The sequence below is a fragment of the Homo sapiens genome, chromosome 20 (assembly GCF_000001405.40).
Source record: "Homo sapiens chromosome 20, GRCh38.p14 Primary Assembly".
Taxonomy (NCBI): Eukaryota; Metazoa; Chordata; class Mammalia; order Primates; family Hominidae; genus Homo; species Homo sapiens.
Window position 1 is genome coordinate 63095036 of NC_000020.11, and position 27641 is coordinate 63122676.

Below are 27641 nucleotides of genomic sequence, written 5' to 3' on the forward strand. Positions count from 1 at the left end.
ACTAAAAAATCAGTCACTGCTTCTCCAAACTTCCTGTTGAGCTGGGCACCCTGTGTTTTTGTTTGCTGCGTTTTTGTTTGTTGTATCTGGGTACCCTAAGAATGATCCCAAATTACAAAGTCAGGCCCTGCAGACTCATGGGAGGCAGAATGGGGGCCCCTAAACATGCCCACCTCCCGGTGCACGGAAACTGTGGACACATGAGGCTGCCAGTCAGCCGCCTGACACGGAGGGGTGACCCTGGATTATCCGGGGGGACCCAGTAGAATCTCGGGCCCTTCAACATAGAGGCGGAGGGCAGAGCAGGTCTCAGTGACGAGACACCACTGGCTCTGAAGACGGAGGATGGGACTGAGGGCCGAGGGGTTCTCCCCTGGAGCCTCTAGAAGGAACCAGCCCTCCCAAGACCTGATGTTAGCCCAGGGAGACCATTTCAGACGTCTAACCTGCAGAAATGGAAAGTGTAAGTGTTCTTTTTTAAAAAATTGTCATGAGTACATACAGGGTGTTGCTATTTATGGGGTCCATGAGATATTTTGATACAGGCATCCAATGTGTAATAATCACAACAGGGGAAACGGGGTGAAGCCGCTATGTTTGTGATAATTTTTTAGAGCAGCCATAAAAATATATGTAAATAGGACCTAGTTAGATAACATATATTTTTGGCTTCTGCTCTGTAGAAACTCACACATGATTTGGGGAGTTGTGAAGGCCTGATTTGATTTTGTTTGTTTGTTTGCTTGCTTGCTTGCTTTTGAGCCTGGTGTGCCGGGCGGGCAGGTGTTTCATTGAACCTGGCCCCTTGCTTGTTCAAGTGTTGAGTGAGGGCAGTCTCCAGGTTCCGGGAGCTTCCGAGTGAGCCTCACGCCTCACGGCTGCAGGTCAGAAAGTGATTTGTGGCCCAGAGACCCCCGGACGTAGCTTCTGCTTTTCAGAATCTGTTCATTCATTTAGCCCCAGGGGACCTCATCCCTGAATGTCCACACCGGGCATCAGACCTGGTTGCAGAGTGGGTGGTTCCAGGAGGCAGCAGTGTAGACCAGTGAAGGAGCAGCCAGGGCCTGAGTGAAGCTGGGGCAGCAGAAGCAGCTTTCGATATTTTTTTTCTGCTGAGTCTTGCCAGCTTTTAGTTTAGAAGTTCCTTCCTGGGGAAGAAAGTGGCCGCTTAAATGGCATAAAAAATAATGCACCAGGCAGGGGACCCTTGAGACCCTGGGGCTGGGCTCTGGCTGGGGGCCTCACACGGAGGAGGAGGGATGAGACTCTCAAGGAGGCCAAGGTCCCAGGTCCTGGGCTATCGGAGGCTCCTTGGGGCCTCTGCCTTCCCCAGGAGCAAGCAAGGAAGGAATGTACAGCAGCAGGGCGTGGGCACAGGGCAGCCCCAGGAACAATGGGGATAGTCACGTGGCCCCAGCCTCCACCTCGCTGGCACTCCTCTTGTCCCAGGACAAGCCCAGCCTGCTGCCCGCTGCCTGCTTCTCCTGCATTGGAGGGCTCCAGGCCCAGAATAGCTGCTCGGAGCCAGCATTTGCATCCACGTCTCCTCCACACGTTAGAAAACCTGGACTTTGTTTTGTAACTGCTGGTTCCGCTCAGCAAATAGAATTGTACCTAACTGTGGAGGGGCCCTACACAGTGGCCCGGCCCGGGAGACCCACGAGGGCCTCAGGAGCATGGCTTCTCCCGTCTGCCTCCTGGTTTCTGTCTCTGACCATGTATCTCCAAGCCAGTCAGTCCTGAGTGGCCACAGTGGGGATGGGGCTGCACCAGGGGCCTGCCCTGCTGTGCTGGCCTCTGCCAGGGCTGGGCCCTGCCTGTGAAGGAGCCCTGGGTTGGGCTCTTTTGTGCCCACTCTCAGGTGGGGTTGCGGGAGGCCTGCTTGGCCCCATGGGGATCAGTGTGATGAGCATGACTGGAGGATGTGCGGGCTTAGGATGAGCAGAGGGACCCTACAGAGCCACGACCCCAGGCCCAGGGCCCCTGTTGGCCCCAAAGCGAGTGTGGTGGCCGTCGTTGGGACCCCAACAGGGGGTGGCACTGGCGTGAGGTCTGACACTTGCCAAATTCCTGCGAGCTGACCCCTCGATGGGGCTTGCACTCTAATTCTGCCCCAGGGAAGCCCAAGGTCAGGATTAGCATCCCCCCTGCTTAAGGGACAGCTGAGGCCAGGGTGGGGCTGGGGTGGAATGGCGGGCTGCATGCAGGAAGCCCATGGAGCCCAGATCTGCTCCAGGTCACAACCCTGTACCTGGCTTGGGGTCCACACTCCCCAGACACAGATGGTGGCATGTTCCCCTCGGACTGTCCACCTGTTGTTCGGCCAAGCCCTGACCCTCACAGCAGGCTGCTGAGTTCAAGGATGCCCCTGGGCAGCCAGGCTGGGACCCTTGCCCACTCCCTGGACGCACATCCGCCCGCCGCTGGGTTCACAGGGGAGGGATTAGAAACCTCTCAACGGAACGTCGACGAGGCGAGTGGGGTGGGGATGGGGGTGGGAAGGGGACAGGCCCTCCCCCACACGTGGGGAGATGCATGGCTGTGAGGTGCTGCCTCCGCCTCTGAGGCTGGCGATAGGCTGGATTCAGACACAGCTCGAGCCGCTCACCCTCCACGTCCTGCTTAGGAGGAGTGCGGGGCCGGCTAAATCCCCAATGCCCAGGGCCCAGGGGCATCCCATCCATAGCCTCAAGGTCCCTGGCTTCCCCTGGGGATGGGGCTGTCGCACCTGTGTCCTCCCAGTTCCGAGGTACCATTGATACACACACAGGGGTCCCTGGGGGAGTTTCCTAACTCCTCTTCCTCTGAAGGCCAGGCCTGGGAGAATGAATTCTCCAAGCACCCACCCTCACTGTACCACGGCAGGTTAGAGAATGCGGACAGAGCTGCTTGGCTGCACACCTTGGGGGGGCGTCACCCTCTTTTTAGCCTCAGTTTCCCCATCTGTGCAGTGGGTACCAGAGAGGACTTTACACAGAGGCTGTGCATTCCCTTTTTTTTAATTTTTTTTTTTTGAGTCAGAGTCTCGCTCTGTCGCCCAAGTTGGAGTGCAGTGGCGCGATCTCGGCTCACTACAACCTCCGCCTCCTGGGTTCCAGCGATTCTCCTGCCTCAGCCTCCTGAGTAGCTGGGATTACAGGCGCACATCACCATGCCCGGCTAATTTTTTGTATTTTTAGTAGAGACAGGGTTTCCCCATGTTGGCCAGGCTGGTCTCGAACTCCTGACTTCATGATCCACCTGCCTTGGCCTCCCAGAGTGCTGGGATTACAGGCATGAGCGACCGTGCCCTGACTGAGGCTGTGCATTCCCTAACAGAGGGGGACGTCTGGCTGCCCCCACAAAACAGCAGCTCTGAGCATGTCTAAGGTCAGCCCCTCCCTGCTTTCCTTTTCTCCCTGATCAAATTCATGTGGCTTCCACTCAGCCCCTTCTTCCGGCTCTTACTTAGGAATGCAGATCTACCCCAAACCCCAACACACACTGGAACCCTCAAGGTCCCATCCTACTGAAAGCCAGGTAGCCGGTGCAGTGAGCAATGGACAGATGGATGGATGATGGATGGTGGATGGATGATGGGTAGATGGAGGAATGCATGATGGATGAATGAATGAATAGATTAATGGATGAATTGAGTAGATAGATGAATTGATGGATGGATGATGGATGGATAAATGAATGGATGATGGATGAATAGATTAATAGATGAATGAATGAGTGGATGGATGGATAGATGGGTGAATGCATGGATGGATCATGGATGATGGATGGATGACAGATGCATGGAAGGATAGATGAATGAAAGAATGGGTGAATGGATTAATAGATGAATGAATGAGTGGGTGGATGGATAGATGGGTGAATGCATGGATGGAACATGGATGATGGATGGATGACAGATGCATGGAAGGATAGATGAATGAAAGAATGGGTGAATGGATTAATAGATGAATGAATGAGTGGGTGGATGGATAGATGGGTGAATGCATGGATGGATCATGGATGATGGATGGATGACAGATGCATGGAAGGATAGATGAATGAATGAATGGGTGAATGAATTAATGGATGGATGAATGGATGACAGGCTCTCCATGAGCCGCTCTGCTCTCCTCCATGGCCTCCTGCTCACTGGCCCCTATATCTCACATCCTACTTCCAGTTTAATGGAGACAAGAGTGTCCTCCCCAACCCAAGTTCTCACCCCCATCCCTTCCTCCCTCAGACCCACCTGGAAGAGCTGCTTCTCTTCTCTTGTAGAAGTCTCCCATCCCAAGGAGGTGCCTGGTCTTTCCCCTCAGGAAGGCACCTGGTCCTTCTTCCTCCCTTCCCTCCTGGGAGACATCTGGCCCTTCACCTCCCCCTGCCCCTTCACCTCCTATCAAGGCAGCTCCCTCAGTATTTTCTGCAGACCTTGTTTGTCTCCTGTGACGTTCATACCCTCCCGTTCCCACAGACATTCTTCCATGTCCAGCCCAGACAGAAGGAGGTCCCCCCCTGCCGGATGGATGATTGAGGCTGCCTGTGTGTACACGTATGACTGAGCAATGGACGGAGGTGTCTGTGTGCAGCAGGCATGTGGCACGACCTCGGAAGAGGGAACAAGACAAGATGTCCCCCAAGGTGCCCATGAGGACCCTCCCTGGGCAGCTGGACTCCAGCCCACCTTGGGCTGCAGTGTGCATTGGGGGTGGGGCCAAAGACCCCTCCACATAGAGAAGGCAGCCAAAGGGAGGAGGGAGTGGTCAGAAAAGGTTGTCTCAGCCAGGGAGCGGCTCCACCCTCTCCTGAGGACGCCTGACCTCAGACGTCAGCTCCCGTTAGAGACCCCCGTATACCCCCTGCCTAGAGCCAAACTCTGAGAGTCTCTGGATGGACTGAGGGGTGGGACAAGGAAAAAAAGGAAGGAGGGAGGGAGAGAAGCAGCAAGGAGGGGTCGCCTGGCCCGGCTCCCCCAGTGAGGAAAGGGGCTGTGGCACAGAGATTCCATCTGCAGGGCTGGGGGCAGCCGAGAATGGCACCTCCAACGCCCACGGCAGGGGCCCACCCGCCTGCCTCCTCCGGGACCACCGGGCCTGGCTCCTCTCACAGACTCTTTGAGAGCGTATTTGTGAAACGTAGCATATTGTGGGTGATTAGATTTAAATTTCAATACACTTTGTTAAAAATAGAGTTGGCTCTCGCCAAGAGGAGGCCGCAGGAAGGGGCTCTCAACGGCTCGTCTTTGGAATATTAATAGTATGGAAATGTTATTAGAATAATTTTTCATCATGAATAATAAATTAATGGAATAATTCGGCAGCGCCACGTGACATACCCTGCTAAGAGGGGCTTTGTTTTAACAGAATGGGGAGGGTGGGTTTGGGGTGTGGGGGAGGGCAGAGCTGGGGGAGGGTCCGCCCAGGGCAGGCGGGGTTGGGTGGAAGTGAGTGAGGTGCCTGAAGAGATGAAGGCTCCGGAGGCATTTGGGGAGGAGGACAGAGACCTGGGACCAAGTCCTCAGGCACTTTTAGCTTCATGTCTCAGCCAGGGTTCTGGCCCTGGCCGGCTCCTTCCCACAGAAAAGCTGGGAAGAGATCTTGGTAGGTGTCCGGCCCCACACACCATCCTGCTGGGGGTGGCTGGGTTGGACTTCACCATCCCCACAGCCCTGCAGCCTCCCCTCCTGCATCTTTCTCCTTGGTAAATGCCAGGAACCTCAAAAGCACCCAGAGGCCCAGAGAAATTGAGCACACAGGGGTGGGGAATTCAAGAGCAGGAGCTGTTTCTAGGGCCCCAGGGGCAGGGCCAGGGTCTCCTGGTCATTTCTGTGCTCGGGACCCCTGCTGCACCTGAGCTCACTGTGGAAACTGCCTGAGGGGGCCACACGGAGCTGATGGGGACAAGCATGCAGGGTGGGCACCCTTGTGGGCTCAGCTTGGTCCAGGGTGTCCACTGGGGGACGGGGAGGGAGATGGAGCACCAGGGAAGAAGCGTCTCTTCATGTGGTCAGCGCCCCCTCCTTCTCCCCACTCCCTCCTTTTGCCTCCCTTCCTGCTGCTGCCTGCACGGTGAGAACAGAGATGAGATGGCCCCTGCCCGGGAGCAGTCAGCGGCACCACAACCCTCCCAGGCCAACCCAGCTCCTGACAGAGAGGGAGGGAGGCAGCCTGGGGCTGGGGGCCCTGGCAGCAGTGGCACACGGAGTGTGCACATGGATCCTAGTCAGCCTTTTGCAGGGCGCTGAAGCCAGTGGGGGCCCCCAGGGAGGTTTTGGGGGAGTGTTGAGGGGGCCTGAAGGGTTCCGCTCCTCCCACCCAGGGAACCGCCATGCCACTAGTGGGCTGTCCTGGAGACTCGGGGAGAAAGCACACAGGCTGTCGGGAAAGGTGGGTCGCAGGCGGGCAGGGCAGCCCTGCTGTACTGATGGGCAGGCGCTGGGTGGGTGGAAGGCAAAGCCATCAGGTCATCCCCCTCTCTGTCCCTGCATTGGGCCAACCAGGTGTGTCAGGAGGATATTTGACCATTCCTGAGAGGCACATTCTCTCTCTCTCTCTCTCTCTCCCTCTCTCTCTCTCCCTCTCTCTCTCCCTCTCTCCCTCTCTCTCCCTCTCTCTCCCTCTCTCTCCCTCTCCCTCTCTCTCTCCCTCTCCCTCTCTCCCCCCTCCCTCTCCCTCCCTCTCCCCCTCTCCCTCTCCCTCTCTCCCCCTCCCTCTCTCTCCCTCTCTCTCCCTCTCTCTCCCCCTCTCTCTCCCTCCTCTCTCTGTCACACACATTTGCACATCCTGCAGTGTGAATGGAGTATGAATGTGTGTGGTAGGCGACAGCTGTGTGTGTACGTCCGGGTGCGTGTGTGCGTGTGTACATGTGAGCGTGTGTGCACGTGAGTTAGAGCCTGAGTGTCCCCTGCGTGGGTTAGTGTGTGCGCCCGCCCGGTGCCCTCCGTCTTGGGAGTCTGGGCTGCTGCTCCGCGGGCTCTGGAGCCGGCGCTCCCCACGAGCCCGGACTCTCCGCCGCGCCCGGGAGCTGCGCAATCGGCTGCTAAGACGCCGGCGCCACCGGCTGGGCCCTGTTCTCCCCTCTCTTTTCTACAGTCTTACCCGCAGCTGACAGGGTTCGAAAGAGCATGAAACGGAGGAGACGTTACAGCAACGTGTCAGCTGAAATGATGGGCGTAGACGCACGTCAGCGGCGGAAATGGTTTCTATCAAAATGAAAGTGTTTAGAGATTTTCCTCAAGTTTCAAATGAGGCGAATCCCGTTTTCCGCGATGCTGCAGCGCGCGGGTTTTAACCGCAGGGTCACGCGGAACGCCGCGCCGCGCGACTGTGCCTCGGTCTCTGCGCCCGGCTCTCCCTCCGGTCCGCAAGAGGAGGAAGGCCCGCGGCGTGCCGAGGTCAGCGGCGCGGAGCCACCAGGCGAGACGGTCACGGACGCCTGAACCGAGGTCACCGAGGCCACGGGGCCGGGAGGCCCTCAGCAGAGCCCGGGGGCTCCGCACCTCAAGGCCGGCCAGGAAGAAACAGCAGCAGGAGCCCAGGGCGCCCCGGGGAGCCCCCGACACGCGGGCCGAGCGCCCAGAGCGGCCCAGGCCCTCGCGAGGAGACCGGCCTCCCCAGGGCGGGGCTTCCGACTCGGGCGCCCGTGAGCCCCGGAGGCGGCGCGAAGGGGCAGAGTCCGCGTTTCTAACCAGCCCCCGGGTGGGCGGTGGCCCGCGCGGCACGGTGGGCGCGAGCGCCGTGGGCTGGGGCCGGCCTGGGCTTTCAGGGCGAGGGCTTTCCGCGCCGGCCCCAGCCCACCCGGCCCCGCTGCGCGCCCCTCACGCTGCAGCCTGGGAACCTGGGCCGGGAGCTGCGGGCCGCTCCGGGGAAGCGGGCCTGACCTCCCCTCCCCACCGCCGCCCCTGCGGTGAGATCCTGCCTGCCGGGGCGCAGGGGCCCGCGGTTGGGCTCCGGGAGACGGAAGAGGCCCCACAGCTCGGGCCCCACGCAGTGGACGCTGCCACTTAATTTTGGCGTAATTGATGTCAAGGCGGGTGCCCGGGCCCCCAGTGAAATGCCTCATGAACTCGCTGCGAGGAACGGCGCTCCACGCGGTGCACGGTGGCCAATCAGAGCTGCCGCTTCTGATGGAGGCTGAGCCGGCTGGGGAGGCGTCTTGGCCAAGAACCAGCCCCAGCCTCGCTCAGGGCCCCAACCCGCAGACCATGTAATTAAGCTGCGTTCTGCAGCCAGGGCAAGGTGCGGAGGGGCCTGTTTCTAGCATTGGGGAGGAGGAAGTGGGGAGGAGGGAGCGGGGAGGAAGGAGTGGGGAGGAGGGAGCGGGGAGGAAGGAGGAGTGGGGAGGAGGGAGCGGGGAGGAGGGAGCGGGGAGGAAGGAGTGGGGAGGAGGGAGCGGGGAGGAAGGAGGAGTGGGGAGGAGGGAGCGGGGAGGAAGGAGGAAGGAGCGGGGAGCAGAGGAGCAGAGCGGGAGGGAGGATCGTCGTGCAGGGGGCCTTTGTGGATGAGGCTGGGATGTCCCTGCCCCTCCGTTCCCTCCAGAGTCTCAGCTCTGAACATCTTCCCGCACCTCTGAGGAGCCAGGCCTGGAAACCCTCTAAAATAGATTTTTCTGCCTCAAGACAGAAGATGGGCGTTCCAGGCAGAGAAGAGCTGCCCAGTCACGTGCTCTGCTCCACCTGGTCAGAGACCCTTGACCTTTAGAAGACTGGACCTGAGGGCGTGGCTGGTGGACCTGAGGGCGTGGATGGTGGACCTGGCCACCCAGCTGTAGCTTTTTGGGTTCCTGTGGTCCCATTTCTTGGGTCAATCTCACACCTGGCAGCTCCCAGGAAGACACCCCCAGGCCCCTCACACTCCTGGGGGCAGCTGGAATTGGCTTCAGGGCGGGACCAGGGGCCCCATGGGTGTTTGGAATCCCTGATCTGGGTCAGGCACCGGCAGCAGGATTCCAGCCTGGCCTGGACTCTGGTGTGTCCCGTTTGAAGAAACCCCGCCCTGTGAAAGTTCAAGTTTAGCATCCAATGACCCATTTAAGAGGTTTGCTGAGCCACGTCACAGGAGGGTCTGGGTGCAAACGGAGGTGGCAACACACAGAGCGAGCCTTGAGCACCCAGGTTACCCCCAGGACCTCCAGTCTGGCTTGGGGGCTCCTGCTGTCCTGTGGAGCAGCCCCCTGGGATCAGGGACGGGGCTGAGCTGGAGAGTGTGCAGGATTGATTAATGATGTCTGCCACGGTCAGGCCAACTGCTGTGTTTCTGGGGCCCACAAGCTAAAAATGGTTGGAAAAAAATCAAAACATTAATATTTGTGACATATGAGAATGCTATGAAAGTCAACTTTGCTATCCATAAATAAAGTTTTATTGACATAGCCATGCTCACTCTTTCTCATATTGTCCATGGCTGCTCGTGTGTCCAGGCACATACCAGGAGGCTACAGACGGAGCTGGATTCTTTCCGGCCCTTTGCTGGAGGCATTGCTGACCCCTGCTCTGAGGCTCCCCATGGCTCTCAGGATCCAGACCCCAGGCTTCCCAGGACATTGGGGGCCAATGGCTCCCTGAGTGCCCTCCTCCCCAGCTCTTCTCCCACCCCTGCCCCCCCAGGAGCCCTCACCATGTGCCACTCACTGCCCACGCAATCTGACCTGTGAAGGGCAGACAGAGGAGCAAGCCTGCCTGAAAAGGAGGACTCTGACTTTGCCACTCCGCTGCCCTGCCTGGCCCCACTGTGGTGTTACCAGGAAAGGCCATGGCAGAGGGACATGCCCACGAGCTGCCCTGGGGGAGAGCGGCTGGGGCAGGGAGGGCAGCACTGCCCTCAGAAAGCCCCGCGGTGGTGCCCCTACCTCCCCTGGGTTCCAGGAGTGTGGACAGACCCTGCTGGGAGCAGATGGCACTTCTGCAGCTGAGGCCTGCTGGACGCTGGGCCATGCCGGGGACTTGAGCCTGGGGCCACACGCTCCTCCTGGCCGATGTCACCACTCCTCTTCCAACAGTCTTGGCCCCGGGGTGGGCCTGCTCCCCGCCCACTCTCTGTGTGGACGGATCATTGCTGCCGCCCTCTGTTCCTCCCTCCCAGGACTCAGAAGAGGGGCCTGGTGTGAACAGGAGGCAACCGCTGACCCCTGGCCTGTGCCCACGCAGAGGCCACCTCCCAGTCTGGTCTCTCTGGGCCAGCCCCTGGAGTGTGCAAAATTGAAAAATAGAAATTCCTGGGAAGTGCTGACTCTCCTGCAGTGCTCAGAGGTTCGCCAGGCCTGTGCCTGTCTTGGCCGGGCCCACGGCTCTCAATGTGGTGGCCGCCATCCCGCCAGCCTTGGCCGCTCGGGGACTGTGGGCTGTGTGCCTCTGATGTTGCATGGGAGCTCAGATCCCCCATCTGTGGACTGAGGCCTCTCAGCCTGGTGGCCGCTAGACCCAAATAACACGTGGACCCGGCCCGGCCGGGTCAGACCCCATCGAACACTTGGGGGTTCCTGTCAATCACAGGCCCTATGCCTTGCCCGGTGCCTCAACGCCCACGGGGTCAGCCTGTTCCACTTCCTGACACCCTCCTCTGCACTGGGCCAGCCTGGCAACCCCACCTCCGCCACAACATAACCCCGGATCTGCCCCACCCCCACCCTCCCACAGAACGCCACTGCGCTCCCGCCCAAGTCAGTGTTTCAGGAGGAGCACAGCAGAAGGTGCAGGAAGCCGAGTCTGGCCAACACCCTCCAGAAACTCATTCCTGCATCCCCCTGGGAGACCTGGACTGGGACATGGGCACAGGGAGGACCTCTATGCTCTGGGGCGTGGGGGTGGGTAGAGTCAGGAGGGGATGTGGCAGGAAACATGCCCAGCCGCTCTCCGAATCTGCAGGAGGCACCTGCCATGCAGCTCGGACCTCCCTGGGCTTCCGGGCTTGGTGACCACAAGGCTGGGCTGAGGGTGGGGGCAGCTGGCCCAGTAGGGGCGGCGCAGGTGACCCAGAACAGGGGCTGTGGGAGGTTAAGGGCTTGCTGGAGCCAGGCTCCGGGGCTCCTGGAGGAGGGGAGACCACAGGAAGACCTGGTCCTGGAGGGTCCTGGCCCCGTGGGCACTCCGTCTTTCTTCCTAAGGAACAACCACACCTCTCCTGCAGCCCGAGCTTTTCTTAGAGACCAAGGAGGCCGAACAAGAAGCATATTTTCCACATAACCTTTGCTTTCCCATGGGAAGGGACGATGGCCTGCACTTGCTGGCAGTTTTGGAGGCATGCCCAGAAGTTTGTGTATCTGTGGATGCTGGGCCAGGCATGGGCGGGACCGTGTTGGGAGGGGCCTCGTTGCTGGTGTCGAGGGAATGAGCTCCTCACAGGCCTCTGGACAGTGGCCCCAGGGCGCCCAGCCCCTTCTTATCCTAATCGAGATCCCTAGAGGACACCCTGTGTCCCCTGAGTTCTCCAGGGCTGAGGCTATCTCTGCCCCATGTCTCAAGCCTCAAGAGGCTCCCCTCTTTCTTACCCGAAGAAACTGTGGTTGGCAGGACAACAACAGTCCCCCAAACGTGTCCACGCCCCAATCCCAGGACCCCGTGACCCTGTCCCCAAGTGGTACAGGAACTCTGCAGATGGGACTGAGTTAAAGACCCCGTGACTCTGCCCCCACGTGGCACAGGGACCCTGCAGGTGGGACTGAGTTAAGGATCTTGAGCCAGGAGGTCATCCCTGTATAATTCTATTCTATGCCATAATCTCTTTACATATAAAATAAACCTAATTGTATGTAATCTGTATTTATATATTTTATTTATGTTCCTTCCTCCTTATAGGAGCGAGGCAGGAAGTGAGGCCATGGGAGCAGAGGTCAGCGAGCTGCAGTGTGAGGATGGAGGAGGGGCCACAAGCCAAGGGATGCGGGCGGCTCCAGAGGGTGGGGTGGCAGGAAGCAGGTTCTCTACGGGAGGCTCTGGAAGGAGCCAGCCCTGCAGACAGCAAGATTTTAGCCCAGTGAGACCCGCTCTGACCTCCAGGACAGGAAGACGACACGTCGTACTGTTTTAAGGGCTCATTTTGTGGTTTGTGGAGGCAGCCACTGGTTCTGACACCAATCGACCCTGATTCCTCCAGTGAGTCCAAGAGCACAGAACAGACTCCCACTCTGGCTGAGGACACGGTGAGGGAACTGTGGTGACCCCAGTTCCGTTCATGTGGCTGTCACTCCAGGAGGATGGCTCTAGAGCAGGGAGGGGCCAAAGAAGGCGAAAGCAGACAACGGGTAGCCCATGCTGGGAGGGGTTGCATGTGTGGCAGCCACCTCTGAGCGGGGGACACCTGAGCTGGGACCTGTGCGGTCATCTGGGAGCTGAGGACTCCAAAGACCATGTCAGGTTGAAGCCATCCAGCAGGAGTGACCTCAGACCCAGAAGGCAGCAGTGAGGCTGGACTGGGGACAGCTGGAGAGATGGAGACACAGGGGCCAGCAGTGATGGGGACAGGATGCTGTGTGAGACATCCCTGGTGATGCCTGGCAAGGTTTCCAGCAGGGGATGGGTAGGGTTTGCTTTGTGCTTTCAGAGAAGCTCTCCAGTGGCTGGAAGGGTAGGGGTAGCCCAGCTTCAGTGCCAGGTGCTGGGGTCAGACAATGCGGCTCCCTCCACTCCAGGTGGGGAAGGGTTACCCCATGGACCCTCCTCGATTCTCTGGCCCAGAAGGGTCATGTCAGGAGGATGGGCGTGGGAGCTGCATCTCCCTGGAGTCCCTACTTTCCTCTTTCTCAGACTGATACTCTCCAGGGGAGCAGAGCTGCTGGTGGCTCATTAATTGTGATCAACTGTGAACCCTGAGGGAATTGTTTTACTTGAGGGAAGGTGGGGCAGAGAACTGAGGAGGGAGGGAGGCTTCTGGTGAGAACCCCATTTCCCAGATGACCCCTGACAGCACCCCTGACCCCAGGACATGGAGACCACTGCCCACAAAGGGAGCCTCCCTGCAGCTGGAGGGGCTGCTCCCTGCTCCGGTCCCCTCAGGTTGGACTGAGGCTCGGCTTCAAAAGGGCCCTTGGGCGGGAGCCACCTTCCAGGCAGTCACCCCCGCCCCCAATGGTGGGACCCAGAGGGCAAGAAATAGACACGTCTCTTTCCCTGGATTGCAGGGACCTCTAGCCAAGCAACTCCACTCATTTCAGCATAATTCCTTATTCATAATGTGTGAGTGAGGTGGCAAGGGCCATAAAATCAGCCAATAATACAAAATCTTGTAGTCTTGTTTTGCAGTTCTTTCCCAGGGCTATAGCCCGAATGTTTATGTGTCCCCCAAATTCCTATGTTGAAATTAGAACACCCAAGGCAATGGTATTCAGAGGTGCGGCCTTTAGGAGGGGACTAGGCCATGGGGGTGGGGCCCTCCTGAATGGGATTAGTGCCCTTCGAAAAGGAACCCCAGACTGACCTCTCACCTCCTGCACTATGTGGGGACACACAGAGGAGGCACCATGGATGAACCAGGAAGCTGGCCCTCACCAGACACAGGACCTGCCGGCGCCTTGATCTTGAACTTCCAGCCATATATATGTATATCGTCTATATTCGGCACCATTCCCACCAGCAAGGCGCAAGAGTTCTAACTGCTCTGCAGCCTCACCAACACGTGTTATTTTCCATGACCTTTATTATGACCATCCTAGTGGATTTGAAGTTGTATTTCTTTGTAATTTTGATCTCCATTTTCCTAATGACTAAAGATGTTGAACATCTTCTCACAGGCTTATTGGCCATTTGTATATCTTCTTTGGAGAAAGGTCTATTCAAGTCCTTTGCTCATTTATAGTTGGGTTGTCTGTCTTTTTGTTGTTGAGTTATAAGAATTATTTAAACATTCTAGACCTGAGTCTCTTATCAAATATGTGATTGACAAATATTTTCTCCAATTCTATAGATTGTCTTTTTACTTTCTTGATAATACCCCTTGATGCACAAAAGTTTTTAATTTTGATGAAACTGAATTTTTTTTCTTGTCTTGTTCGTGCTTTTGGTGTCTTATCTAAGAGTTCATTACCACATCCAAGGTCATAAAGATTTACCTCTAACATTTTACTCTGAGTTTTATAGTTTTAGCTCTTACATTAAGATATTTGACACATTTTGAGTTTATTTTTGTATATTGTGTGAGGTAAATGATTTTTTTTTGCTTGTGAATATATAGTTGTCTCAGCACCATTTGTTGAGGAGATTATTCTTTCTCTATTGAATTGTCTTGGCACATTTGTTGAAAATCAGTTGGCCATAGATATATAGGCTTTCTCTGAAATAGATTCTATGCTATTGGTCTATATGTCTATCTTGATGACCGCATCATACTATTTTGACTACTGTGGCTTTGTTCTAAGTTTTGAAATTAGAAAATATCAGTCCTCCATTTTTTTCTCCTCTTTCAAGATTGTTTTGGCCACTTGAATCTCCTTGAAATTTCATATAAATTTGAGGATTGGGTTTTCATTTTCTGCAAATGATCCTTGGAATTTTGATAGAGGTTGCATTGAGTCTGTAGATCATTACGGATAATATTGCCATCTTAATATTAAGGCCCCCAATCCATGAACATGAGATATCTTTCCACTTCATTCCTAGGTATTTTATTCTTTTGGGTGAGATTATAAATGAAATTGCTTCCTACCTTCTTTTCAGGTTGTTCATGGATGGTGTATAGAAACACAACTGATTTGTGTGTGCTGATCTTGCACCCTGCAAATTTGTTGAATTCATTCATTTGCTCTAAAGGGTTTTTTTTTTTTTTGTAAATATTTTGGAGATTTCTGTATATAGGATAATGTCATCTGCAAATAGAGATTTTTTTTTCTTTTTTCCCCAGTTTGAATGCCTTTTATTTCTTTTTCTTGCCTCATTTTTCTGGCTAGAACTTCTAGTATGATGTTGAATATTAGTGGTGAAAGTGGGCATCCTTGCCTTGTTCCTGGTCTTGGCGGAAAGCTTTCAGTCTTTCACCACTGGATATAATGTTAGATGTGGGTTTTCCATAAATGCCCTTTATCATTGTATTAGGCCATTCTTGCATTGCCATAAAGAAATGCCTGAGACTGGGTAATTTATAAAGAAAAGGCGTTTAATTGGCTCATGGTTTTGCAGGCTGTATAGGAAGTGTGGTGCTGGCATCTGCTCAGCTTCTGAGGAGGCCTCGGGAAGCTTCGAATCACGGCAGAAGATGAAGGAGGAGCAGGCAGGTCACATGATAAAAGCAGGAACAAGAGGGGGTGGGGAGATGCCGCACTTTTAAACAACTAGATCTCACGAGAACTCACTCACCATCTCGAGGACAGCACCAAGCCATGAGAGATCCACCCTCACAACTCAAACACCTCCCACCAGGCCCCACCTTCAACACTGGGGATCACAGTTCAACAGGAGATTTGGGCAGGGATATATATTCAAACCAGATCAATCGTATTGAGGAAATGCCCTTGTATTCCTAGTTTTCCAAGTATTTTGTCATGTAAGGGTGTTGGAGTTTTCAAATGCTTTTTCTGCCTCAGTTGAGATGACCATATGGATTTCTCAACTTTGTTTTATTAATGTGGCCTATTTTGGTGCTTGAGTTTTATACGTGGAATCGTCCTTGCATTCCTGGGATAAATCAAACTTAGTCAGGATGTATAATCTTTCTCATATGCTCCTGGGAGGGTGTGGAGGCTCAGTTCCCCACTAGGCCCTGCTGACCCCATCCCATAAGAGATTGGGTCACCACCTATTTCCACCATGCAGGGGATAAATGATCCACTCTCTGCTCAGCCGGTCGACACCACTGAGTGAGGACATCAGAGAACTGCCACCTGCCTCTGCAGGGTGGGGGTGAGGTGGAGTGGCCTCTCTGAAACCACATTGGTGTCTGGCTAGAGTAGGGATGACAATGCCTAAAGGGGGCTCTGTTGTTTGACCACCCTCTCCTCATGCTTTGGCTGGGAGGAAAGCTCCAGGCTTCTCCTGGAGAGTTTTACTCTGTCAGTGATGACTGCAGGTTGAAGGCCACTGCAGTGTCCTGTCTATGATGTGTGGGAGGCAATAAGGAAACCCAGGGCACTCAGCACCACGTCATCCTGAGTCTGGAGGCTCCCAGGCGGTGGCCTTCTAGGCTCCTTGGTTGTGTTATGTGCAGGACTTTTGGGTTTTAGTGGGAAGATCCAGGAAGATTGGGCCGCTCCATTTTGGTGGAAACAGAAGTCTCCAATTCACCCCCTTTTGAGTATCCTTTGAGGTTTTGATGGGAACGTGATGACTTCAGAGGCAAATCTGAGGAGTGCTGGCACCTGCATGCTGCATGTCTTCCTACATCCACGGCACACATGTCCACATGACCAGGCCATCCTCAGTGGCCTTCACAAAGATCACATGTGTCCTTGATGGGCGACTCTTCATATCTTTCTTCCCCATTGCAAAGGGAATTACTTTTAATTGTTCTTTATTATTTTTATAGGGATGATAATGATTTTTGTACATGAAGCCTATACTTTGCTGATTAGTTCTCATAGTTTAGCTGCATATTTCTCTGAGCTTCTGTGCAATTATATTCTATACGAGAAAGGACTATTTGTCTCTCCCTCAATTCCTAGTCCTTGTCTTTTTTGTTTTGTCTTGTGATATTGGCTAGGACCTCTAATACAAACTAAATATAAGTGTGATAATGGGCCTTTTTGACTTGTGCAATAATATTTCCAAAGTTCTATTATTAAATGTTATGATGTTTGCTGTATTTTTTTTTGCCTTGTATCCCTAGCTTGCTGAGAATTTATCTGATTAACGCTGCAATTTGTGGACTGCATTTTCTTGCCTCTGTTGAGGTGATCACATGGCTGTTCTCCTTCCAGTGGTTCATGTGGTTTAAAACAAAGTGTTTCTGAGATTGAGCCAGCTTTGCATTCCTCTTCATGACATACTGTTTTATATATGGATGGACTTGATTTTCTAGTGTTTCTTTAGTCCTTGTCCTGTTTTGATATCAATATTATACTAGACTTACACATTACTTGGGTAGTTTCCTTACATGAAAAACTTTTAAAGACAGATATTTACTATTCCTAGAAAGTTTGGTGAAACTTGCCTATAAAACCTGGATCCAGAGGTGTGCGTGTGTGAGATAGAGGGAGAGAGGTTCAGTTACCATTTTGATTTGTTCAGTGGTAACTGATTTGTTCACTTCTTTTGTATTTTTGAGTCAATTTTACCATAGTTTTTGTAAAATTATTTATTTTATCAGTATTTTCCAATTTACTAACATAAAGTGCTTGGTGTGATTTACAGTTTTTAAAATCTGTACTGTGTCTACAAACACACAATATTCTATTTTTCTCTATCCTAATTTAAAAATCTGTTCCCACCTGCATGTGTCTCACATGCACACACACAGCACTGATGGAAACAGCATGCGTGCAGTAAGTATGTAATCCTGGTGACTGCACAGACCCCGTGGTGGAGGAGAACAGCAGGCAAAGCAGCTGTTGATCCAGGAGCTTTTGATGCAAGGTTCATCTTGGGATCTAGACACAGACATAGGTGGGAATGGTGGGTTAGGGCTGTGCTGTACCTGGCCACTCTGGACCATGCCAGGGAGTGCTCTCACAGGTGCCCCATGGCCACCTCTGTTGCCCCCACAGCCCAAGGAAGGACTCTCCCTGTGCCAGCTTTGACCAACACTGCCTTGGCTGTGAACCAAACTGGACAGAAACAGTGTCTTTGCCACAAGTTCACGCCTGGTGAGGGAGAGAACTGAGACACGTGGAGTCCCTGATGCAAGGATGGTGCAGGGCATGGACAGCAGGAAGGTACCTTGAAGGGAAGGCTGGGAGGGGTGGGGCCACAGAAGGAGAGGCCCGAGAGGCATTTGTGGCCAAGAGTAACAAGGGCCCCCCACTTGGACTTTACTCACTTCTCATGGGCACTCCACGGCGGGTCCTCAGGCCCTGGAATGTGGCCTGCTGATCCATTTTCCAGATGGAGGGACTGAGGCTGAGGGCCAGGTGGGGTGTCGGATGCACTAGAATTCAGACTTCAACTCCTGTCCTGTTCAACCCCTCCTCTTCGGGCCATGCAAGGAAGGAGGCCTCGTCTGAATTGCCCTTCCCAGGGGAGCCAGGCTCAAGGTGACACTGTGCCTCAGGTGCTGTGAGTCCAGGCGAGTTCAGCTCAGTGTAAGGGCCCCTAGCACGGCTAGAATCAGGCAGAGTGATGGGGCCCAGGACGTCCTGCCAGCCTTGCTTCCTGAAGAACTCGGACAGGCCAGGGCTGTACCAGAGTTCCTATCAGACTGGGGGCTTGTGAGGAGACCTCACAGACTCTCCGCACAATTGCCCAAATCTCTGCCTCCCTCTGCATGCAAATGGCCTTCGGTGACCTTGGCAAGGCCCCTTCCCCAGAATCACTCTCTTTATCTCATTTTGTGCAACCCAGATGCCTGCCACCAATGTTTCACAGATGGTTTGAAAGTAAAATTAGCTGAGCACACGGGAGCTCATGCCTGTAATCCCAGAATTTTGGGAGGCCAAGGCAGGTGGATCACATGAGGTCAGGAGTTCGAGACCAGCCAGGCCAACATGGTGAAACCCTGTCTTTACCAAAAATACAAAAATTAGCCAGGCATGGTGGTGTGCACCTGTAATCCCAGCTACTCAGGAGGCTGAGGCACAAGAATCGCTTGAACCCAGGAGATGGATATTGCAGTGAGCCAAGATTGTGCCATTGCACTCCAGTCTGGGTGACAGAGTAAAACTCTCTCAAAAAAAAAAAAGAAAAAGAAAAAGAAAAAAGAAAAAAAAGAAAGTAAAACTGCTGTTTAAGAGTCTATTTTAAAAAAAAAGTAATTGCATGCAATGTAGATTTGGGAATTTAATGCAATCAATGAGTTGGCAATTTCAGGGTGCACTTCCACATCTATTTCCAGGGGAATTTTAATTTTCTTGGTCTTTCTTTTATAGCAGGTAAAGCAAGATGTCATGATCATCTTTGAGAAATGTTTGTTTAGGGCATCCAGGGCCTTTAAGTGGGAATAATGATACTTGGGAACATAAAATTGCTTCTGAATAAACGTCTGGCTCATAAGGCAGCAGCACTCAGAGAGGCCAAGAGTGCATCTTTATGAATGAGCATGGGGAACGAAACAGGCTGAGTAACCCTGGGCCCACACACTGGCTGCTGCCAAAAGCTCCGTCTTCAGGGAGCCGCGTGGGGATGGCCGGGTGCTGGGGTTTCCAGGTGCTTGGATTCTGCTCCTGCCAGGGAGCCAGGCTGTCACCATGCTCAGAATTGACACCTGAGACCTGCACTTTGGTTTGGGTCCCCCAGAGACACACTGGAGGGCAACTTGTTTGTGTAGGGGGTGATCTTAGGAAATCCGGTAGGGTGTGGGGAAGGAAGGGAGTGTGGCCGATAAAGGTTGCAGCAGGATCGGCTGTGGCTGCAGGGATGTTCGGGGAGCCAGGACAGCCCGTGCGCCTCAACTTTCCCGCCGGAGGGGCAAGGGAGCCGCATGTTTTTGCCCTGATACCCCCAGCGCGTCATGGGTTAAGGCTGCTCCAGGCCTCAGGCAGAGGCTCTGGGCAGGTGGGGTTCCGCTGGGCTGGGTGAGGTGGCGAGGCCTGAGGGAAGTGGCTGGAGCTGACGGCACCTGCTCCTTAGATTTAAACCAGCCGTGACATTTCCAATATTCGTGGTTTTCAAGGCACTTTCTCATTTGTAAACGTGGTCACCAAAAGAGGACAGAGGCCCCTCCTTTCTCAGTAAATACTTGCTGAGCTTCTGGGGAGTGCTGGCAGTTGGTGGCCACCAGACACTCCCAGATCCCTGCCTCTTGCAGATGCTGGTCTCTTCTGTCTGGCACGCATGACCTTTGCGGTCACACTCCAGGATGTTTGTCATGGGGCTCTGAGGAGCGGGGAGTCGACGGCTCTAATGTTTGCATAAGTGTGACTTTTCTGAATGCGTTGGCAGAGACGGGGGTGAGAAGCAAATAATCTGTTTTGGTTTTGTACATTCTGGTAAATTCTGCAAGCGAGACTCCCAAACAGCTGCCTAAGAGTCCAGGGTAAAGCTACGGGTGACAATGCCAGGTAGCAACGTCTCATTCAGCATCACTGACAGCACCAGATGGAAAGAGCCCCCGCCCCTTCCATACACGGATGCTCATGCACCACAAACACACACACACACACACACACACACACACCATAGAAACGTAGACATGCAAATTTGCATGCATGCAAACCTGCATGTGCACACACAGACACACACGTACCACACACCACACACACAGATACACACAGACGCACACTCACCATACATCCCACACATAGGCACACACATACACACACACACCACACATACGGACACACACATGTGCACACAGTCTGTGTCTGTGGTTACTGACCAGGAGGGAGTGTGTGGTTGGGGGCTTACGGGGTAGGGAAACCTGGTTTGGTCTCCCTGCTCAAACCAGCTCTGAGGCCTCCTTAAGACTCGGTTTTCTCATGTGTCGCATGTTGGTGAAGGCTCCTGCCCCACCACCTCCCAAGGAGGTGATGGAACTTCAAACATGGTGACAGATGGAGAGGGCAGCCTGATGGGGAGGAGATGTGATGAGTGGGTGCCGTGAGCTGCGGACGGCACCGTGCTGCAGCCCACCTAGGTGTACTTTGGATGAGCAGAGTTGAGGCAGTCAGTAGGTTGGGGCAGTTGGTAGGGAGGTACCCCTCTGGCACGGGAAGGGCTCACTTGAGGCTGGATGCATGAGACATCCTCGCCGGGACAAGGCAAAGGCCCTCTCCACCCCAGGTCCAGCCTTCACAGAGCTGCCAGAGGTGCTGCTTAGAAGCAGAGTCCAGAGGCAGCAGCCAGGGGCTGGCCAGACTGGAAACTATGGAAGAGGTGGGAGGACCACAGAGATCCTCTTCTCAGGTGAGGGCTGCCTCCCCCGCTCCTGCTGTCTCTGATTACTTGAATCAGTGCTGGACAAAGGACCATCTCATGGAAAAGCCTCACCAAGTACCTCCAACCAATCTTCCATCTTCGGCTCAAATGCCCCCTGCTCATGGAGACCTTCACTCCCTGGCACCCACACTCCCTGGCACCCACACTCCCTGGCACCCACACTCCCTGGCACCCACACTAGGCCAGTGCCCCGGTTTTATGCCATTATAAAGCAACACATTTCCTCTTTGTGGCTCTTAAGTCAGATGTGACCACACGCCCAGTCCGGCAACCGCACGGGAGGTCTCTCCCCCTAGACTGTGCTCCATGGGGTGGACCCAGGCCTTGTGCTGTTTTTACTTATATCCCCCATGGAGACCAGAGCTAGGCACAGAGTACAGCAGCACCCCAACTTTCAGCCGGTTACCCATACATCTCTCATGTCATTAAGAACAATGAAACTATAGCACACACACATTCCAGTGGAAAAAAATAATTTTCAAAGTTCCCTGGAGTTCGTTGCAGTGGAATCCATGGCCCAGGTGAGCACAGCTGCAGGGAGCTGCGCGGGGGGAGCCGCAGAGCTGGGCACTTGCGAATTAAGTCCCGGTGACCGGTGACTGCCGAGGCTCTGGCAGGCGGAGGGCGGGGTGCGGAGATGCCGTTCAGAACCTCGGACAGCGCCGCGGCCCATCCGGCCAGCCAGAAGCTGGGTTTCATCTGTTTTCTTGGGGACTCCAGGATTACGGAGTATTGCCATGATAGGGGCCAGAGTGCTTTATCCCCCAAAGCACCCCCCAAAACGCGGCACGGGTGCAGGCTCCGGCCTCAACACCTGCTGCCTTGCCGTGTGATCTGGGGTGGAGCTTCCTCACGTCTCTGGGGCTGTTTCCCACAGGAGGAAGAGGTTTAGTTCAGCCTGGAAGGAGGGCATCCCATCTGAGCCGAGACCTCTTTGAGGGTCCTTGTATGTCACCTGCTGTCTGTCGCTGGTTCGCCTTCTGGCATCTTTGATACCTCCCCAGTCAGAGACCTCTGTTTGTGCCAAGAAGTCATCTGCTGTGTCTTCAAACAAGACCGTAGGAGGCAGAGCCTCTGGTGCTGGCACATCGCAGAAGCTAATACCTCGTCACCAACGGAGTGAAGAGACCACGGCTTTCCCCTTTCCTTCCTGTATTCCAGCTTGCATGGATGCCAGCAGAATTCAATCTAAAGTGGAAAGAGAAAAGTAAACAAACCTGAGAACTTTCTGGATCTCTGCAGAGCTGGGCACTTTGCCAGTACAGGTTTTATTGGAGGGAAGTGGTGGGTTGCTTCCTCGTGTTCCCATCGCACAGGCTGGAGTAAACTAGCTCCGTAAGCAGGCTTGCCTTTGGCCGACAGATGACAACGTGTCTGCATGTAGACATAGACTTTACAAAGGGCTAGAGATGGCTGGTGGTTCTCATGGGGAGATGGCCCTGAGGCTGATCAGTGTCATTCCAGTCAAAGGGCTGCCTCTTAGGGGCACGTGACATCCCCCAGCACCCGACCTGCCCGGACAACCAGCCACCAGGCAGACAGGAGTGAGGGGGTGAACGAAGTATGGACTGAATCCACAGCCTACCTGGACAACCTCACCACGAAGACAGGAGTGAGGAGGTGAACGCAGTGTGGACTGAATCCACAGCCTGCCTGGACAACCTCACCACGAAGACAGGAGCGAGGGGGTGAACACAGTGTGGACCAAATCCACAGTCTGTCTGGACGACCAGCCACCACGCAGACAGGAGCGAGGGGGTTAACGCAGTGTGGACCGAATCCACAGTCTGTCTGGATGACCAGCCACCACGCAGACAGGAGCGAGGGGGTGAACGCGGTGTGGACCGAATCCACAGTCTGTCTGGACGACCAGCCACCACGCAGACAGGAGCAAGGGGGTTAACGCGGTGTGGACCGCTGTCATGGCTCACAGCAGCCTCAACCTCCTGGGCTCCAGTGATCCTCCTGCCTCAGCCTCCCAAAGCACTGAGACGAACATAGACGCAGGCACACATGCACACAGGCTGTGAAATGTATGTCTCCAAGTGGCTGCGGGCCCCTGAAGGGCTGCTGCAGCCCTGGGGCTTTGCTCTTCAGAGCCATGTCGAGGGAGCAGTAGCGGGAGCCACATGTGACCCCCAGATCCAGACAGAGACCACTTCCAGCCCCCAGGAGGCCCACACTCCCCTCCACTCCACAGCGCCCCCAAAGGTGCCCACGTCTCTGACCCCCACCCTGGGTGAGTAGGAGCACGTAGCAGGTGCCCCTCACGTGCAGCTCTCTCATCCACACATACTCACACATGCTCACACAGGAAAGCACATGCCCGCTGTGTCCTGCTGCATTGCTGGGCAGTGTCCACTGCACGTCGCTCGCTGCATTGCTGGGCAGTGTCCGCGGCATGTCGCTCTCTGCATTGCTGGGCAGTGTCTACTGCACGCCGCTTGCTGCATTGCTGGGCAGTGTCTACTGCACGCCGCTCGCTGCATTGCTGGGGAGTGTCCGCTGCATGTCGCTCGCTGCATTGCTGGGCAGTGTCCGCTGCACGCCGCTCGTTGCATTGCTGGGCAGTGTCTACTGCACGGTGGACGCTCCTGCACTCATGGATGCTCAGGCTGCTTCCCGTTGGACGCGATTGTGAGTGACGCTGCTGTGAGCCTCCAGGTACCGGCCTTGGAGCCAGCAAATGCTTTCATTTCTCCCATGCAACATCTGGGGCTGGAATTTCTGGGTCATATGGTGGGTGTATATTTGACTGTACTAGAAAGTGTCAAGCGGTTCTGAAGTGGCCGCACCATGCACAGCCCCAGACAGTGTGAGCGTCCGCTGCCTGCAGCCCCCCAGCACTGCCCAGCCAGTCTTTCCGGTTTGGGCCATTCTGGTGGGGGTGAGGCAGCACTGCACAGGGTCTTATTTCCATTTCCCGAAGCCCATATGTTTTCTCTCTGGAGGACGGGGGACTCAAGGCACCCTCCCCGCCCCCTCCTGCCTTCTCCATAAATCTCTCCCTCTGAAAAACACAATCAATAAGCCACAGAGCCCAACATGCGACCGCAAAGCCGCTCCATTATTAAGTCTGTAATTGCTGAGAATTAATTTGCTAATTGCACGCAACTAATCTGCGTCCTTTCTGTTTTATATCAATTAACAGAGTAATTAAAAAAAGCAATCTTCGTGTCAGCTCCTCCCTGGCAGACTTAGCCTGCCAGAGCTAATGAGACAGGCCACCCTTCAGCCAACCTCATTAGTGACGACCGTGCGGCCAGGAAGTCCTTGATGTGCGATGTGCAGTAGCTAACAAGGGCCCCCCTGCCGCGAAGCAACAACTTGCTGGGCATGGAGCAGGGACCCACGGGTCCCCATCATTGCCTCCGGGCTGGTGGGACCCACAACTGTGCCAACACAGGGGCTTTGCTGGGCTGGCAAGTGCAGGGGGCCCCAGCCAGGCAGTTTCAGAAGAGCAGGCACGACGCCAAGGCCTAGGAAGGAGGCCACAGAGGCCCGAGTATCCCAGGGGGTCTTTGCTGGGATCTGGCATTGGGTGCCTCTCCCGCTACGCAGGGATGGAGAGAAAAGACACCGAGAGTCCTGGGGCTGATGAAGAGCTTGAGCTCGGAGCCTGACCACCCACAGACAGCAGAGTGATAGACGCCTCCATGACACAGAACGCAGCCCTCCCTGCCTCCAGCCCACAAAGCCTCCTCCTCCACAGCCCGACAAGGGCCAGTGCTGGGCCAGCTGCTGGAGGACAGACAGCCACGCCAGGGGACACCACAGCTCCCAGCTCCCTCCTGCGCCTCCCCGGCCACCATGAGGATGGAAGACAGCACCAAGGACGAAGAAGAGAGCCTGAGCAGAGGCCAGGACCTGGGCCAACTCAGGGACCAGGCAAGCACACCTTGCCATCTTGCCTGTCCCCTCTGCTGAGCAGGACTATTGCTGGGACTGGCCCCCTCCACAGCACCCAAGCCAGCCTTGGGCAAAAGGTGCTGTCATCCCAGCTGACCCCTGGTGCCAGCCCGGTACACACCAGTGAGGGGATCACCAGGGAGGCCTGGTGCCAGCCTGGTGTGCGCCAGTGAGGGGATTGCCAGGGAGGCCTCCACACAGACTGACCTCTTTTGGTGCTGGGGGAGGGGCTGCCACTGTAGATGCTCTCAGCTGGGGAACCTTCCCCAGAGCAAGCTGCTGGATGTGCAGGGGCCCCGGGCATGCTGTCCAGCAGGTCCTCCCAGGCTCCCAGCTGCCCCCATCCATGGCCTTCCGACACAGCCGCCAGCCGCTGACCGACATCAGGTGCCTGTGCATTGCTGGGCCCACCCTCCAGCACTGTCACGTTCATCTTAGCAATGGCTCATGAGGTTGGATGGCTCCTGTCCATGCTCAGCCAAGGATCCACTCAGAGCAGTTCAGTGGCCTTCCCCTGGCTGCAGAGTAGAGCCGGATGGAGTTGGACCTGGACGCAGGCCGCCCCCAGCCTGTGCTCCTGGCCACCGCTCAGCCTGCCCCTGCTGCCAACACGGTCCGAATGACCACTGTGTGTCCCATGCGCCTCCACGGGCCCAGAGGCTTGTGTGTGCCAGGCTCAGCACCTCAGGACCCTCGGTCTGATCGCTCGATGCCCAGGAAGCCCAGGAAGTGCCTGTGTCCCCCTCATCCCCTGCACAGTCACCCCAACACGAGTCCCTGCACCCCCCTTCCTGACCTCCCTCACCCTGCACCTTTCTCCTGTACCCTCCAGGTCCTGGCCCCTCCCCTCCCCCAGAATGAGCCCTTCAATTTCTCACCCAACGAAAGCCTGGCCCTGCCCTGAGGCCCCCGTCAAGGGGCAGGGGCAGGGGCTGCTCCCACCCTCCTGTCAAGGCGACTCCATTCCTGGGCCATTCTCCATCCTCCTCCCCAAAGTCCTCGCCTCCCGGGCCCAGGCTCTGCCACCTGCCTGGCTCAGCCTCCAGCCCAGCCCCCCGCCTTCCATCTCCCCTTGCCCACCAGAGGGTGGGGCCCCAGACATGGGCTCTTGTCCCTCTGGCCTGCCTGGCCCCCCCACATGCACACAGGGTGAGGCGGGGCAGGGAAGCTGGGCCTTGGGTATCCAGCCCTGGGGAAGAGCCAGGCCAGGGTGAGGCTGAGGGTGCTCAGCTGCCAGGTGCTCAGGAAAGCAGGGAGCAGGAAACTCCTGGAATTGGGAATTAAGTGCAAGGAGAGGGGATGTGTGGAGCTGGCAGCATTCTGCCAAGTGCTCCCCCAGAGAGCCAGCTGCACTGGAGCCCACACGCACAGAGCCCGGGGCGTGGCACTCATACACACGCTCGTGTCTGCCTTCACGTGTGTATATGAGTGTGGAGTGTGCACACGCATGCTTGTGTGTGCTTGAGCACATTTGAGTGTGCACCTGTGGCTGCGGTGCCCAGGTGCATGTATGTATGCTCCCGTGCAAGCACATATGTGTGTGCATTGGGAGGCAGGAACCATGACGACTGCACAGCCCAGCACGGCGCCCCCACGGTCACCCGCCCTGAAACGAAAGGGACCCCCAGGTCACCCAGGCTGGAGGGTTTCCAGTTGCTCCCCTCAGGGTCACTTAAGAGTCAGGCGAGTCCACAAGACCTGCTACTGCAAAATCACAGCCTGCAGCATCTCAGGGCCTGTCTTCCACCCCAGCCCATTGTCATTCTGCATAAAAGCAGAAAAAAAAAAAAGGCACCAAACTGCACCAAGCGTGCAACAGATGCAGCTCAAACAAACTCGTGTACGACACGGAAGAGACAAAAGCGTTGCCGGCAACTTGTTTGGGACACACGTGATACAGAAAGGTGACGAAACATCACAGATCAGTGGGAAAACAACTAAACTGCAAACTGAAGAATGGGCTTGGGCAGACCACTCACAGAAGAAATCCCAAAAGCCAATAAATGACTTGAAACTATCCAGTGTCACTATTAAAGAAATGCAGATTTAAATAAAGTTTGACTTTCAAACTAGCAAAAAATGTATGAAACTATGAAGCTCGATGCGTGTGATCATCAGCAGAGGCCGACGCTGCAGGCAGGGCCAAAGCTTCTGACCCTGGCCCCCAGGGAGGAACCCAGAGGCCAGTCAGGGAGGGGCAGCGAGCTCACGGCCAGGCAGCGCCACAGCACTGGCGACCCTCAGGGAGAACAGGCACTACCCAGGGCTGGATGCGTAACGGGCCCCCCGGCCACACCCCACCGCCCATCAGAGCCGCAGCTCCTGAGAACGCATCCGGAGGCAAGGCCAAAGTCAGCCATGGCACAAACATTTGTGCATCAAGGTCCTGTTGCTCTGCAACAACTCACCACAAACAGAGGGGTGGAAACCTCCATGTCATCGGACGGCCCAGCGGTCAGAAGTCCAACGCCATCTCCCTGGGCTGATGTCTGTGCAAGCAGGGCTGATGCCGTAGCTTTTCCGGCTTCTGGAAGCTGCCACAGCCCCTGGCTCATGGCACCATCCTCACATCCTCTGAATCCACATTCTCCTCTGAATCTCCCGCCTCCCTCTTTCCACTGTAAGGACCCTGTGATGACACTGCACCCTCAGACCCTGGTAACCCAGGGTCATCTTTCCACCTCAGGGCGTCTGACTTAAGCCTGCCTGGAGGGTCCCTGTGGTCACATTCATGGGTTCCAGGGTTCAGACACGGCCACTTTGTGGGATCATTACTCTGCCTACCACACCATGTGGCCCTGTG

General features: G+C 55.4%; 3 long non-coding RNA genes across 4 annotated transcripts, besides 4 other annotated features; 2 read left to right on the forward strand and 1 right to left on the reverse strand.

Moving 5' to 3' along the window:
• Nucleotides 1–457: 457 nt before the first annotated feature.
• Nucleotides 458–7284, reverse strand: HAR1B (highly accelerated region 1B). 2 transcript variants are annotated; one of them, NR_152601.1, is made up of 3 exons: nt 7080–7284; nt 1002–1148; nt 458–878 (listed from the first exon to the last, which is right to left on the reverse strand). It is a non-coding gene; the product is annotated as a highly accelerated region 1B (long non-coding RNA). The 2 variants fall into 2 exon arrangements; NR_003245.1 differs by having other exon boundaries at nt 458–1148.
• HAR1A (highly accelerated region 1A) lies at nt 6257–9351 on the forward strand. The gene is made up of 2 exons (NR_003244.2): nt 6257–8219; nt 8520–9351. It is a non-coding gene; the product is annotated as a highly accelerated region 1A (long non-coding RNA).
• Nucleotides 7333–7722: a silencer, noted in NCBI's record as "silent region_13146". NCBI's record gives its function as "represses an Ori minimal core promoter by ATAC-STARR-seq in GM12878 lymphoblastoid cells {active_cell/tissue: GM12878}" and the evidence as "EXISTENCE:reporter gene assay evidence [ECO:0000049][PMID:35858748]".
• Nucleotides 9352–21200: 11849 nt separating the features above from the next.
• LOC105372719 (uncharacterized) lies at nt 21201–26918 on the forward strand. The gene is made up of 3 exons (XR_936993.3): nt 21201–21450; nt 21807–23593; nt 24081–26918. It is a non-coding gene; the product is annotated as an uncharacterized LOC105372719 (long non-coding RNA).
• Nucleotides 21469–21669: a silencer, noted in NCBI's record as "peak4307 fragment used in MPRA reporter construct". NCBI's record gives its function as "represses an SCP1 promoter by STARR-seq MPRAs in K562 erythroleukemia cells {active_cell/tissue: K562}" and the evidence as "EXISTENCE:reporter gene assay evidence [ECO:0000049][PMID:32103011]".
• Nucleotides 24777–24960: a silencer, noted in NCBI's record as "fragment chr20:61751164-61751347 (GRCh37/hg19 assembly coordinates)". NCBI's record gives its function as "represses an EF-1alpha promoter that drives an FKBP-Casp9 reporter gene in an ReSE screen in both phorbol 12-myristate 13-acetate-treated (for megakaryocytic differentiation) and untreated K562 erythroleukemia cells {active_cell/tissue: K562 | K562(+PMA)}" and the evidence as "EXISTENCE:reporter gene assay evidence [ECO:0000049][PMID:32094911]".
• Nucleotides 26788–27289: an enhancer, noted in NCBI's record as "H3K4me1 hESC enhancer chr20:61753175-61753676 (GRCh37/hg19 assembly coordinates)". NCBI's record gives its function as "activates a minimal SCP1, AML or CMV promoter by ChIP-STARR-seq in primed H9 embryonic stem cells {active_cell/tissue: H9 hESC(primed)}" and the evidence as "EXISTENCE:reporter gene assay evidence [ECO:0000049][PMID:30033119]".